At 42.8% G+C, this 15,148-nt stretch overlaps 1 protein-coding gene and 1 long non-coding RNA gene across 9 annotated transcripts in view; one reads left to right on the top strand and one right to left on the bottom strand.

Annotated features, from left to right (window-relative positions):
- Positions 1-1,568: 1,568 nt before the first annotated feature.
- P4HA3-AS1 (P4HA3 antisense RNA 1) lies at positions 1,569-14,912 on the bottom strand. The gene is made up of 7 exons (NR_120556.1): positions 14,825-14,912; positions 14,328-14,449; positions 14,055-14,155; positions 3,973-4,040; positions 2,271-3,567; positions 2,064-2,179; positions 1,569-1,933 (listed from the first exon to the last, which is right to left on the bottom strand). It is a non-coding gene; the product is annotated as a P4HA3 antisense RNA 1 (long non-coding RNA).
- P4HA3 (prolyl 4-hydroxylase subunit alpha 3) overlaps positions 14,634-15,148 on the top strand; it is a 61,495-nt gene continuing 60,980 nt past the window's right edge. For all 8 annotated transcript variants that reach the window (XR_007062475.1, XR_001747837.2, NR_110031.2 and 5 more), the window contains exon 1: positions 14,634-14,862. Coding sequence is in view for 3 of the 8 variants with exons in the window: in NM_001288748.2 (NP_001275677.1) it covers positions 14,663-14,862 (200 nt within the window). In the remaining 5 variants the exon portion in view is untranslated. The remainder of the gene's footprint in view (positions 14,863-15,148) is intronic.

The following is a 15,148-nucleotide window of genomic DNA, read 5'->3' as shown; positions in this document are numbered from 1 at the left end:
TTTGCCCCTCTGTTGCAGCACTTCCCATACCAGACTGAAATGATTGGACTCTCTCAGTGAATTGTGGGCCCCCTGAGAGCTGGAATCAGCTGAGTCAGTGCAGTACCCCCAGCACCAAGCACCTAGCACCAAGCCAAGCAATATCATGAGTCTTCGGCAAAATAAAAAAGGGGAAAAAAAAGTGGAATTTGAACTGGGTTTTTAAAGGCAAGTAGGCTGTGATAAGCAAAGGCGTGGGGAGGGGCACATGGCATATATGTAAATTCAACTCCAGACAGAGGGGCTATCTGAGTGAAGCCTGGGAAGCCTGGGAAGGCTGCTTGTGACTTGCTGAATGGCTTCCATCCAGGCTTCGGCTAATCTGAGCTAAATAAGGAAAGCCAGAGTGGGCAGATGGCCCACTCACATGGCTGTTGGCAAGAGGCCTCAGTTCCTTACCACATGGGCCTCTCTGTAGGGTTGCTTGAGTGTCTCCGTGACAAGGCAGCTGGCGTCCTCCAGAGTGAGTGATCCAAAGAAAGAGTAAGGCACAGGCCACAGTGTGTTTTATGACCTAGCCTTGGAAGTCACACACTGTCATTTCTGTACAAGTCTATGGTAACATATAGCAATCCTGCAATCCTCCTACAGTGTGAAAGGGACATAGTGTGTGAGTACCCGGAGGCAGGGATCACTGGGGGCTATCTTGGGGACTGGCCACAACAGAGGGAAAGATTAAGTGATCAATTTTAAACAAGTCATGGTTGAGACACCTGAGAGACATCCAAATGTAAATATCAAGTAGGCAACTGGAAATATGAGTCTGGAGCTCAGAAGAAAGGTCTGAGCTAGAGATATAAATTTGGAAGTTATCAACATACCAAAGTCTTTAAAGCTGTGGAAATGGCTGGACACGGTGACTCACACCTGTAATCCCACCATTTTGGGAGGCCGAGGCGGGCGGATCACGAGATCAGGAGATCGAGACCATCCTGGCTAACACGGTGAAACCCCGTCTCTACTAAAAAATACAAAAAATTAGCCGGGCATGGTGGCAGGCACCTGTAGTCCCAGCTACTCGGGAGGCTGAGGCAGGAGAATGACGTGAACCTGGGAGGTGGAGCTTGCAGTGAGCCGAGATCACGCCACTGCACTCCAGCCTGGGTGACAGAGCAAGACTCCGTCTCAAAAAAAACAAAAAAAAGCTGTGGAAATGAGTATGATCACCTAATTAGGGTGCAGACAGGAGATGGAATCTTAGCCTTTTGGAACTCCAACTTGTATTCTTTTTACTTTAAAGTTATAATTTAATCTAGTTTTATTAATGGTAAAAACTTTAAATAAAGAAAATTAGAGGGAAGGATACAACAAACACCCAGGTACCCACCACCTAGAACAACAAAGATCAGCACTCTTTCTCATTTATCTCACATATTTCCCTTTCCTTTTAAGTACTTCTCTATCCAATTTTGTGCTTTGACTCTTATATTGGTTCAATTTATTTTAATTGGTTAGCTTTTGCCAAATAACAAACTATCCCCAAAGACTTAGTGGTTTAAAATAGCAAGTATTTATATAGCTCATAATTCTGCAAGTCAACATTTGTGCTAAGCCCAGGTGAGTTGTTCACCTGGTCTTGGCTGAGTTTATTCATGGGTCTGAGGCCAGCTGCTAAATTGGCTGGTTCCTGGATAATGTAGAATAACTTCCGCTGGGATGGCTCATCTCTATTCCATGTGATCTCTTGTCCTCCAGCAGGCTAGCTCAGGTCATTTCATATGAGTAGTGGGACAGGACTTCAAAAAAAAGAGCTGAGATGTGCGATGCATGTTGAGGCTTAGACAGAGAATTTGTACCATCTCTCTGCTGCATTCCATTGGCCAAAAATGTCATGATGTCAGTTCAGGTTTAAGGGGAGGAGAAATAGTCTCCCTCCACCTCTTGATGGGGGATGCTGCAAAGTCACAATTCAAAGAGTATGAATTCAGGGAGGATGGAAAGAGTGTGGCAAATTTTGTAATCTACCACAGTTTACTCTTTGACCATAATTATTCACATTGCTCCCACAGGAAAAATATGCTTACCACCATTCCAAGACCCCCAAACACCTCTTGCAATTATGTCATCAGGCTTGAAGACCAGGATCTTGTGGTTCACATCAGGTTTGTATGTGACATTATGGATGTTGTTCTTCTTAATCCTGACACCGATGAATTAAAGACAAGTTATTTGCCTCCCGCATACCTACTGTACATTGAGACGGAGGCAGGATATCCTCAATAGACACTTACATTTAAAAAAGGGAAGAACGCCGGTCACGGTGGCTCACGCCTACAATCCCAGCACTTTAGGAGGCTGAAGCAGGCAGATCACTTGAGGACAGGAGTTCAAGACCAACCTACTAAAATTACAAAAATTAGCCAGGCATTGGGCAGCACACCTGTAGTCCCAGCTACTTGGGCAGCTGAGGCAGGAGAATCACTTGAGCCCGGGAGGGGGAGGTTGCAGTGAGCCGAGATCACACCACTGCACTCCAGCCTGGGCAACAGAGCAAGACTCTGTCTCAAAAAACAAAAACAAAACAAAACAAAATTAAAAAGGGAAGAATGAGAGACACATAGCAATTCTGAACTCCAGCTGGGCAAAGGTTTACAAGTCTCACTATCCCAGGAGAGGGTGTATTTCTTGCTCAGGTCTAGAGTTTACTCCCTGGGAGGGGGTTCCTGCTCCACTGATCTCTGCGGCTCTTGACTATACCCTTTGGAACATATTCCTTGTCTGTCACCTTCCTTGGCTACTTCTGAAGATGTGGCCCATGTTGGTAGCTGAATAATTGGTAGTTTGAATAATTTCAGTCTATTCCATACTCCAAATGACACAACTGTTTTGTGACATCTCTCTAGATTTTATTACTGGTATTTTTGAATTGGGCTTCTGTGGGATCTCACTCTTAAGTTTCCAAGAAGGTTTTTTTTTGTCTAGAGGTCGACTAGACATCACTTTAATTCTTGCAGAGGTCTTTACAAAGTGCCACTATGAAACACAGATTACTGTTTTTCCAGCCTCTAGTAATAATTTCCCATCATTTCCCCAGACTTCAATATGTTTGCTCTTGCCATTTTCCCAGTTTCCAACCACTCCCAATCTCAAAGCTAATGTCACAAATTTTAGGGTATTGTTAATGGCCTAACATCTCACTTTCGGACACCAATTTCTGTATCAGTCTACTTTTGCTGCAAAACAAATTACCCCAACACTTAGTGGCTTAAAACGGCAGCTATTTATATATCTCACTATTGTGTGGGTTAGCAGTTTTGACTGAGGTCAGCTGGATATTTCTTCTGGTCTTGAGTGAGTCCACTTCTCTGTTGGTGGTCAGCTGCCAAGTTGACTGGGTGCTGGCTAATTTCTGATGGCCTCGGCTGGGTTGGCTGAGCACTGCTGCACATGATCTCTCACACTCCAGCAGGCTAGCCCAGGGTGTTCCCTGGGTGCCTGGGCAGAGCCCCAAAAGAGAGAGCCAAAGCATGCAAGGCCTCTGGACACCTAGGCTCAGAACTGATGCACTGTTCCTTCTGTTGCAATTTACTGGTGAAAGAAAATAATAAGGACTTCCCAGATTCAAGCAGGAGATACAAAGTCATATAGCAAAGGGTGTGGATATGGAGAGGAATAAGGATCATGGCTGTTTTTACAATTTGCCATACCTCCTCAGAGGCCACCCTCATCACAAAGTGGGAGGCCATCCTTCCCTTCCAAATTTTATCTTTATGTGACATATGTACATATCAAAAATATATAGTTTTTTCCCCTGTGAGTTCTATATGTTTTTAAATGAACTATTTCATACATACTACATAATTTGTGCAGTATAAATGTAAGGTATAAAGAATAGGATGCTTTTGTACTTACCACGCAGGGAAAGAAATGCAATTTTATCAATATATTTTAAACTCCCTGTATGCCCCTCCCAACCTAATATTCACTTCTTACCTGGACTATGCAGTTCCTTCCTGTCTTACCTCCTCCCATCAGCTCTACCTGCTGAAGCCAGCATGATACTAAAAAACAAACATCGAATAATTCCTGTACTTAAAACTATTCAGTCATTTCCCATTGACCTTCGAATAAAATCCAAATTTATTTATAGAGTAGGCCCTTCGCCATCTGGCTCCTGTTTACACTTCATGCCTCATTTTTGCCATTCATCCCTCAATGTGCTATGCTTATTCTCAAAACAGATCATTGAGATTTTGCCAAAGAAAGTGGCTTCCGTAGTTCCGTGCACTTCCTCTTTTGGAGCATGTGTCACTCTTGTTGTTGGCTGTTTGCTTCTCTGTCTCCACTACTTAACTTGTCCCCACCTGGCTCTGAGGGTGAGGATCCCAATGTCTGCTGGGTCCCTCTGGGGCCAAGCACAGCAGCTGGCACCCGGGATGCTCAGTAATAATTGAATGGATGAATGAATGCTAGACTCTGAGGACAAAGAGAAGCTTCACAAAAATTTCCTAGCCTATGTGAAGAACAGATGTATTGAATTAATAAATTGATCTCTCCGCTAAGCCAACAGCAAATGTGGGACTAGGATGGTGGGTTTGAGCTGGCCTATAAGCTCCACTAGGGGTCACTGTGGCAATGCCTCGGAGTCTTAAAAAATCACGTTATTTCCATGGAAAGACTCTACCTACTTCGAATGGAAATGTGATTTTTCAAAGGTGGTAGTGGTTTTATTTTGTGTTTTAATAAGCTCCCCATTCAGTCCACTGGAGAGAGCTGTATGTGAGCCACCCGTGAGTCTGAAGGACTTAGTAACCCCTGCTTGGTGCCCACTTTATGCCTGTAGTGGTTCTTCAACTTGGAACCACCATAACAGCTTTCACAAACATGATTTAATTTATCTTCCACATCAGATGTTGGCAGCCAGGATAGAGATTGTTATTATTTCCATCTTAAAAATGATATTTCTAGAACGTTAAGTAATTTTCCCAAGGAATCACAGCTGGTACCTACCTAAGCAGGGACTTGAATCTGGGTCTTTCGAATACAAATGTATTAGTTTACTAAAAATATATTGAGTTCCAGGCTCTGTAAAAGATGATAGAGATGCAAAGACATGCCCCCCAAACTTAATGTCTTAGAAGCAAAGACTGTCAAAGCGGAAAGGAACTTTGAAGATCACCTAATGAAGTGTTCTCAACTCGGATGTGTGTAAGAATCACCTCAAGAGCCTGTTATAAATGCAGATTTCCTGGACTTTGCCTGTCTTCCACCCTCTTACAGTCTGATTCAATGAATCTGGGTGGACCTTGGAATCTGAATTTTTCATAAGAACATCCACATTTACCTGAATAATTCTGTTGCAAATAGACTGTGGACCACACTGAGAAACACTGATCTATTGGTTTCATCCTTTCATAATATAAAGGAGAAACTGAGGTGATGTGAGTCCCCTGGAAATATTCCTTGGATGTAGAAGGGAGGCTAACCCAGGAACTGATAATGAGCAATGTGAAGTAATGATGCAATGGAAAGAGCACTCGACTGAGAGCTGGGGACCCTGGGCTTACCGTCTTGCAGCTGAGTCACTTCATTTCCATAAACTGGTTTTCTCAACTGTAAAATGCAGGACAATACATACTTCATAGGCTTATGATGAGGACAGGCAATTCAAAAGATTTGGAAGAAGACTGGCACTAGAGACACTTGATAAAGAGATTAACAGGATTGTTTTGAATGCTCTTTCTACTTTATTTATCTATTCTCTTATTTTCATTTTTATTTTCTTGGCTGGGTGTGGTGGCCCACGCCTGTAATCCTAACACTTTGGGAGGCCGAGGTGGGCAGATTGCCTGAGCTCAGGAGTTCAAAACCAGCCTGGGCAACACGGTGAAACCCTGTCTCTACTAAACAATACAAAAAAATTAGCCAGGCATGGTGGTGGGCGCCTGTAGTCCCAGCTGCTTGGGAGGCTGAGGCAGGAGAATTGCTTGAACCTGGGAGGTGGAGGTTGCAGTGAGCCAAGATCACGCGACTACACTCCAGCCTGGGGGACAGAGGAGGACTCCGTCTCCAAAAAAAAAAAAAAAAAAAAAAAAAAAACAGAATTATTTTCTTGAGACAGAGTCTTGCTACCTTGCCCAGGCTGTAGTGCAGTGGCACAATCATGACTCACTGTAGCCTTGATCTCCCAACCTCCTTTCTCAGCCTCCCAAGTAGCTCGCACCACAGGCATGCACCACCACTCCTGGCTAATATTTTTATTTTTGTCTCTCTACGTTACCCAGGCTGGTCTTGAACTCCTGGGCCTCCCAAAGTGTTGGGATTGCAGGCCTGAGCCTCCATGCCTAGTCTATTCTATATTTTTAAACGAGTACTTGCAATTGCCAGGCACTCAGCTAGGAACCATCTCACCTATATGAAGTATATGATCTAGTGTAGCAGACAGCCATTAATTATACAAATAAGAAGTAATAATAATAGTTATTATTATTATTATCATTATTATTCTGAGACAAGCTTTCACTCTGTTACCTAAACTGGAGTGCAGTAGCGCAATTCTGGCTCACTGTAGCCTCAACCTCCTGGACTCAAGCAATCCTCCCACCTCAGCCTCCTAGCTGGGACTACAGGCACACATCTCCACAATCAGATAATTTTTAACTTTTCTGTGGAAACGGGGTCTCACTGTTGCCCAGGCTGGTCTCGAACTCCTGGCTTCAAGTGATCCTCCTGCCTCAGCTTCCCAAAGTGCTGGGTTTACAGGCGTGAGCCACTGTGCCTGGCCCAAATAAAAAATTATAATTGTCATAAATGCTACCAAGGGAAAATACAGGGTGTGTTTTGAATAATATGAAGACTTGAACCTAGTCTGCAGACAAATAAAATGTCCCTGAGGAAATGACTCAAAGGATGAGTAGGATTTAGTCTGTCAGAAATTCCGCATGAATCAGGAAAGAGCTTGCCAAGAGCAAGAAATGAAAAGACAAAAGGCCAGCATGGCTGGAGTGGAGAGAGCAGAGGAGAGTGGCACAAGCTGAAGCTGAGGGTGGTTATTATTTCCAGAGAAGCCTTTCTCTTTTCCTGACTTAATAATTATTTGAAAATCTTGATCTTTTCCTCAACTCTTTTCTGTCAATTTTTTTCCATTTTAAAACTCAAAAGCCTTATTATAGTAACATTTCCTCAAAACTAATACAAATTTTTCACTATTTTGACATTCAGAAATAGGGATGGTCTAGTAATACAGGTTGAAAAAAAACTTGCTATTTAGCAAGTTGTTCCAAACAGGAATGTAAGTTGAGCCCTCACAAACTTACCAGTGTTCGGAAAATACCTATTCTAATGTCGTCATGTAATTATTTACACTTGTAGCATAATTTCATTAAATTTTAGTTTGTTTTAGTTAAACTTGGAACACTGCTATTACTCAAAGTGACTTCAAAAATTCCTCTCTGATCCAGAAGTAAAACAAAATATTATAGTTAGGAGGTTCTGATTGTGGGGAAGATGAAATAGATATATTCTACCCTGGCAATTGTAAAACCTGGACAGAATACACAGAACAGGCATTTGAGGACTCTGTCTTCCTGCTACTTGGCCCTGGATACATGCAGTCATGAGAAGTACATAGCAGAATGGGGTAAGTGAAATCTCAGGTTTTCTGTGAGAGGACCTAAAAGGGGAGCCTCAGGGGACTGGAAAGTATCAAACATCATAGAGAGACAAGCTCAGGAGAGCAATGCCGTAATTCCTGGGTTCACCTCTGAGCTGTGCATGCATGGATCTGATACTAAATAGCATACCATAGACTTGAGTACTGAGGTATGGGATAAAGGGATAAACCACTATCCAGATCCAAGACTGCCCACTGAGTATGCACAACTGAAAGAGGTCTGAATAGTATTGCAAGGCTTTGAAAACTGAACTGACATTGGAACCACAGCCACAAAGACAGGTCACATTTTGTGGCCTGCATCCAGCTGGGTCATTTACATGCTAAAATGAAAGTATGAATACTCTCCATAAGATTTAAACAAGATCTAGACATGTATAATATTCAGAATGTTTAGTATTTAATCCAAAATTACTCAGCATACAAAGAACAGAGAAAATCTTAATCTGCATGAGAAAAAACAGCCAACAGATGCCAATGAAGAGAGAACATAAGTGTTGAAATTGTTAAAGACTTTAAGCTAGGCATTATAGAATGCTCCAAGAAGTAAAGGTGAACACTCTTGAATGGAAATGGTATCAACAAACAAATAGAAGACATAAAGAGAAACCAAATGGAAATGTTAGAGCTGAAAGTATAATAACCAAAATAAAAAACTCACTGATGGACTTAATGGCAGAATACAGATGACAGGAAAGAGTCAGTGAACTTGAAAATGGACCCACAGAAATTGTCTAATCAAATAAGAGAAAAAGATTTTTAGAAAATGAACATGGCCAGATATAGTGGCTCATGCCTGTAATCTCAACATTTTAGGAGGCCAAGGTGGGAGGATCGCTTGAGCCCAGGAGTTCAAGACCAGCCTGGACAACATAGTAAGACCCTGTGTCTACCAAAAAAGAAAATTAGCTGGGTGTGGTGGCATGGGCCTGTGGGTCTAGCTACTCAGGAAGCTTTGCCAGAGCCCAGGAGATCAAGGCTGCAGTGGGCCATGATTGCACCACTACTGCACTCTAGCCTGAGCAACAGAGTGAGATCTTGTAGAAAGAAAAGAAGAAAAAGAGAAAGAGAGGAAGAGAGAAAGAGAAAGAGAAGGAAGGAGGGAGGAAGGGAGGGAAGGAAGGAAGGAGAAAAGAAAAAATGGTAAAAAAGAAAAAGAAAAGGTCAACTCAGAATTCTACATTCAGTGAAAATATACTTCAGGATAAAAGTAAAATAACTACATTCTTAGATGAAAGAAAATTAAGAGAATTCATTGCCAGCAGACTTGCTCTAAAAGAATTTCTAAAGATATTGACTCAGCAATCAAAACATTTCCCACAGGAGAAAAAAAAGCCCAGGCTTAAATGACTTGCATGGTATACTCTTCCAAATGTTTAAAGAAAAACTAACTCCAGTCCTTTACAAACTCACATAAAAATATAGACAAGGAAGGAACACTTTCCCACTCATTCTGTGAGATCAAAAGTATGATACCAAAACAGACAAAGATATCAGATAAAAATAAAACCACAGACCAACATCTCTTATGAATATAGATACAAAAATCCTCAACAAAATATTAACAAACCAAATCCAGCAACATATGAACAAGACTATACATCATGGCAAGTGAGATTTATCCCAGGAATGCAAGGTTGGTTCAACATACAAAAGTCAATCAATATAACACACCATGTTAAGAAAATAAGGGGTGAAAACCACATGACCATCTCAGTAAAGATAGAAAATGCATTCTACAGATTAAAAACATTCAACAAACTAAGAACAGAAGGGAACCTCCTCAACCTGATTAGGGTATTAACAAAAAACCTTCAGCTAACATCATACTTAATGGAAGAAGACTGAAAACTTTGCCCCTAAGATCTGAAATAAGATCAGAATGCCTTCTCTTACCACTTCTATTCAACATTATACTGGAGATTCTAGCCAAGTCATTTTAGCTAAATAAATAAATAAAAAGCATCCAGACTGGAATGGAAGAAGTAATCTATTTTCTGATGTTATGATTGTCTATATGTAAAATCATAAGGCATCCACAAAACACACTATAGACCCATTAAATGAGTTTAAAAGGTTACAAGATTTAAGCTCAATGTACAAAAATCAATTGTACTTCCATACAGTTGCAATGAACAATCTGAAAATAAAATTAAGAAAAAATTTCATTTACAATAGTATTAAAAAACCACACAAAGCCATTTATATGAAATGCCAAGAATAAAAAAAATCCATATAGATGGAAAGTAGATTAGTGGTTGCCATGAGGGAGTGACTGCTAATGGATACAGGGTCTCTTTCTTTTTTTTTTTTTTTCTTTTTCTGAGACGGAGTCTCACTCTGTCACCCAGGCTGGAGTACAGTGGTGTGATCTCTGCTCACTGCAACCTCCACCTCCCAGGTTCAGGTGATGCTCCTGCCTCAGCCTCCCAAGGGGTACAGGGTTTCTTTGTGAGGTGAAGAAAATACTCTAGAATCAGATATTTGTGATGGTTTTGCAACCTTGTGAATATATTAATACTAAAAACCAACTGATTGTACACTAAAGGTAAATTTTATACTATGTGAATTATACTTCAATTTTATAAAGAAGACTATACTTAGGAATAAATTTAACAAAATTATGATATACAATTTTGTAGCTCTATCTGCTGAAAGAACCTGGGGGCAGCAGCATCCCAGTCACAGTAAGCACACCAGCACCCAAATCTTGGTTTCTTAATACTCTTTTCCATTAAAAGGAACCAGCACTCCTTGGAGAAATGCCTGATTCTGGGACTGGGGCTGGGAAAGACACTACAGGATTACCTGGAATAGCTTATAACTAACAACTTATAGAATGAGAGGAATAAAGGGGACATAACAAAGGGACACAAGAGCCATATTGAAGGAGTTAGTCAACTTGTGTTGGCAAGGACAACTCCAGGACAATTTGAACATCAAATAAATAGTTAATTATAATTCATTCAATAACATGTATGAACTTATACATATTGATATAAGTAAATGAATAAGTTAGTAACTGGGACAGAAGAATATAGAGAATATATATATTCTCTATATGACCAGAGAATGCCAATAAGTACTAATAACCTACTAATTAATAAGTAGAAAATACTTTTTCATTAACTTTATGCTGGAGGAACCAGGCATACATCATTTATACCAAGGACTGAAAGTTAACACCACCAGCAATGGGACAAATCAACATACTGTGCCTCCTGACATGATGCACTGAGAACAAAGAATTATTCCTGTTGTGTTTCTGCCAAAGTTGCATCTACTCATGAAGAAACGTCAGACAAACTCAAATTGAGAGATCGTCCAAAAAATAACTGGCCTGTTATCTTCAAATATGTCAAGATAGCAGAGACTAAGGAAAGATTGAAGAACAGTACCAGATTGAAGAACATTAAAGAGATATGACAACTGAGCACACCAATAGTCCTGGATAGGATCCTAGATTCACAACACATTTAAATGGTACAATCAAGAAAATTTGAAGAAGGTATGTGGACTCGAGGTATTAGTATTTTGTCAATGTTAGTTTCCTAATATTGGTGGTTATATTGTGGTTTTGTAGAAGGTCTCTAAGAATCTTATGGGTGTACCTTATATTTCAACCAGGAAAAAAAAATGCTTCTAAGAATCTTAGGGCTGGCTGGGCATGGTGGCTCACACCTGTAATCCCAGCACTTTGGGAGGTCAAGGTAGGTGGATCACTTGAGGCCAGGAGTTCGACACCAGCCTGGGCAACATGGTGAAACCGTCTCTAAAAAAATACAAAAATGAGCTGGGCATGGTGGCATGTGCCTGTAGTCCCATCTACTCAGGAGGCTGAAGCAGGAGGATCATTTGAGCCCAGGAGTTCAAGGCTATAGAGAGTCGTGATCGTGCCACTGCACTCCAGCCTTGCAACAGAGCAAGACCCTATCTCTAAAAAAATAAAAAGACTTTTAAGACTGTTGTACCACAACCCTGAGTCTCAGCCCAAGTTAGAGAAGGGCACTTCTTGGGAAGAAATATAGATATGGTTTTTGTCTAACGGAAAGAACTCCAATAAGATTTACAGGAAATCCTCAAAGGTTTTAAGATGATTTTATCAATAGAAGTACTGCCCACTTGGGCTAAAGAGACAGAGACAATACAAAGCAGATACCTTTGGGTTCCTTTATCAGTTTCCTACTGTTGCTGAAACAAATGACCACAAACACAGTGGCTTAAAACAACACATATATTGTCTTACAGCCCTGGAGTTCCGAAGTCTGAAATGGGTTTCACTGGACTAAAATCAACGTGTCAGCAGGTCTCTGTTCCTTTTGGAAGCACTAGAGGAGAACCTGTTTCCTTGCCTTTCCAGCTTCTAGAAGCGGTTCACAATCCTTGACTGGTGGCCTCTTCTTTCATCTTTAAAGTCAGCAATATAGTACTAAGTATCTTTAAATCTTTCTGACTTTGCTTCCATTGTCACATTTCCTTCTATGACTTTTAAGGACCCTCATGATTGCATCGGGACTACCAAGATAAACCAGCATAATCCTCCAATGTCAAGATCCTTAACTTAATCACATCTGTAAAGTCTCTTGTGCCATGTAAGGTAACACAGTCATGGGTTTTGGGAATCAAGACATGCACATCTTTGGAGGGAGGGCATGATTCTGCCTACCACAGTCCCTAATCTTCTATGGTCAGAATACCTTCTATGGGAAGGCTACTCAGTTAGAAAGGGTTTGTGCAAGCTAGGAGCCTTGAAGCTTAAGCTTCAAAACCTTCTAGGTAAATCTGCCTCTGGTATTGATTAAGAATATGGAATCAGGATCCACATGACCTGGGTTCAAGTCCCTTCTCTACCACTTACTATGTATGTTGATTGAATTGATGTTACAGATTGGGTTTTCTAGAAGCAGAGGCACAGCTGGAGTTTGAGGTGCAAGATGTTTATTAGAGATCAGCATCTACGAAAGGGAAAGGAAGCAGGAAAAGGCAGAGGAAGAAGTCAAAGAGGCTTGACAAAGCCTTGATCAAGGTGGCAGGTGCGCTGGAGCTAGTATTTCCTGTAAGAATTGTCTCACGATGGGCCAAAATGGCTAGGCCTTGATTCCCTCACCTTGCTCCATTGCTGGATTAGGGCTGTTCCAGGAAGGACATTTCCCTAAGCGAGACTGCTCTCTGCTATAGGACAGACCCTAAAGCAGCTGACCACTGGATACTCTTCTCATCACATACCCTGCAGCTGTGCAACAAGTCCTTCTTCGAAGGGGGATCTGCATGTTACATCTCATGTCTACACAAGCAGTGGTGTGCTGGAGCTGGCTCACCCCAGCTCACAGGAGTTGTTGGCATCTTTATCCAACCACAGTCAGTGGTGACATTTTTGCATGTCGAAATTAGCCACTGTGGGAGAATTGACACCACAGAAATTGGCAAATGCCACAAACCAGAACTTTATTTTTTTCCTGGAGAGCTGGTTTACCAGCACACCTCGAATGTGGTCCACAAGTGATTAACACTGAGTAGGTTAATGATTGTCCCTACAATTCAGTCTTCTCATCGGTAAAGTGGGGCCAATAATACTGTAAGAATACTAATATTACTTAGGCTATAGGGTCAGCATGAGAATTAAATGAGTTAATACATGTAAAATACTCTGGACAGCGATTAAATGAGTTAATATATGTAAAATACTCTGGATGGCGACTGCCACACAGGAAACACCCGGTAAGTATTAACTACTATGTTTACTGTTGCCATTGTTATTACAATTATTGCTACCTTAAAAACTTCCACTGGATTTTCATAGAGGACAAGCACCTAAATTTCTTAGTATGACATGCAAAGACCTTTCACAATCTGATAGTTTCAAGCACAAGAAACTTTTCATCATTTCTGGAACTCAAACTGTTTTCCACCTCCAAACCTTGTCACGCCCATGTACCTTCTGCCAGGAAAGCCCACTCCTCCCTTGCCTGTCAACTTCCAATTTTTTTCATCCTTTTGAACCAGCACCCATCACCTCCTCTCTGATGCCCTCTCCACCCACTACATGAGGGTTCCTTCTTCAGTGTTGCCATTGCATATTGCACAACCCTCAGTTACTCTGACAGCACTTTATTGTGATTACTTGTTTACATAACTGTCTCCTCCTTTGAGTCCAGGATTGGATCTGCTATTTCTCTGTGTAGGCAGCACAGTAACACAGGTACTAATAAATATTTGTTGCATGAATGAACATTGCCTGGGAAATGCATAAGAGGGGGGAAATAGAGTACATAGCCTAGTAGGCTATAATAATAATAATAATATTTTTATTTGCTTAAGTGACTCTAAGTATATTGTGTAAAGCAGTGACTTTAGGACCCCAGAGCTTCAGGTTCTGTAAGTCCTAGATTTGTCATATACTCACATCCTGACACAGTCCTACTTATCCTTCAGATGGCTCAGATGTCACGCTCTCTGTGAGGGTTTTCCTCCCAGCTGTCCTCTTGCCGCTCTTTGCCTGCGCACCTATTCACATACGCATAATTGACTCTTCTGGACGTCCCTGTGGGGATCCAGTGGTGTTTGTGTATTCCCACTCCATGGTACAGAGGGGCGGATATTTTGGGGATCCTGTGAGCGTGGTGTTAACAATATTTGGGGATAGTCACAGCCTTAGACCTGTGAATTCATCGCTCACCCTGCCTCCGCCTCAATTTCCCCTAGTGTGATGGGCACAGTGGAAACACCTTCCCAGGGTCGCGATTTAGTGGAGGGCGGCGGAGACTGATGTTGCAGGAAGCCCCCACGCATTCCGAGGAGCTGAGGAATAGAGAGCGAGGTGAGGCGTCGAAACAAGGAAGGAGTCAGGGGGCGTGGAGCGAGACTGGGCGGTGGACGGGACGGGCCGGGCCGGGGCCAGAGGGCGGGGCCTGAGCCGGGAGGGGGCGGAGACAGGGGCGGGGCAGGCGAGGGCGGGAGCGGCTGCCGCCGCGCGGCCAGGACTGTCTGAGGGGAAGTTCGCGAGCGCTGGCTATGGGTCCTGGGGCGCGGCTGGCGGCGCTGCTGGCGGTGCTGGCGCTCGGGACAGGAGACCCAGAAAGGGCTGCGGCTCGGGGCGACACGTTCTCGGCGCTGACCAGCGTGGCGCGCGCCCTGGCGCCCGAGCGCCGGCTGCTGGGGCTGCTGAGGCGGTACCTGCGCGGGGAGGAGGCGCGGCTGCGGGACCTGACTAGGTGAGGGCACGACGAGTGGGAGCGACCGAGGGGCCTCAGTGGGATACACTGTGCCGCAGGGTGGGGTGACTCAGGTTGAGTGTGACCCCAGGCTCATTGTCATGCTGCGTGGGACCCCAGACCCACTGTCGCACCGTGCGACTGAGACATTGTGGCATGGGGTGGGGAGTGGCTCTGAGGGCCAGTGTGACCCCCTAGACCCATTGTCACCCTGTGTGGGACCCTGACACTCCGTGGCATGAGGTGTTGGCGAGGGTTGGGTCACACTGGGACTGCAGACTCCATC

The sequence above is a fragment of the Homo sapiens genome, chromosome 11, assembly GCF_000001405.40.
Source record: "Homo sapiens chromosome 11, GRCh38.p14 Primary Assembly".
NCBI lineage: Eukaryota > Metazoa > Chordata > Mammalia > Primates > Hominidae > Homo > Homo sapiens.
This window is presented reverse-complemented; position numbering and strand designations above follow the sequence as displayed.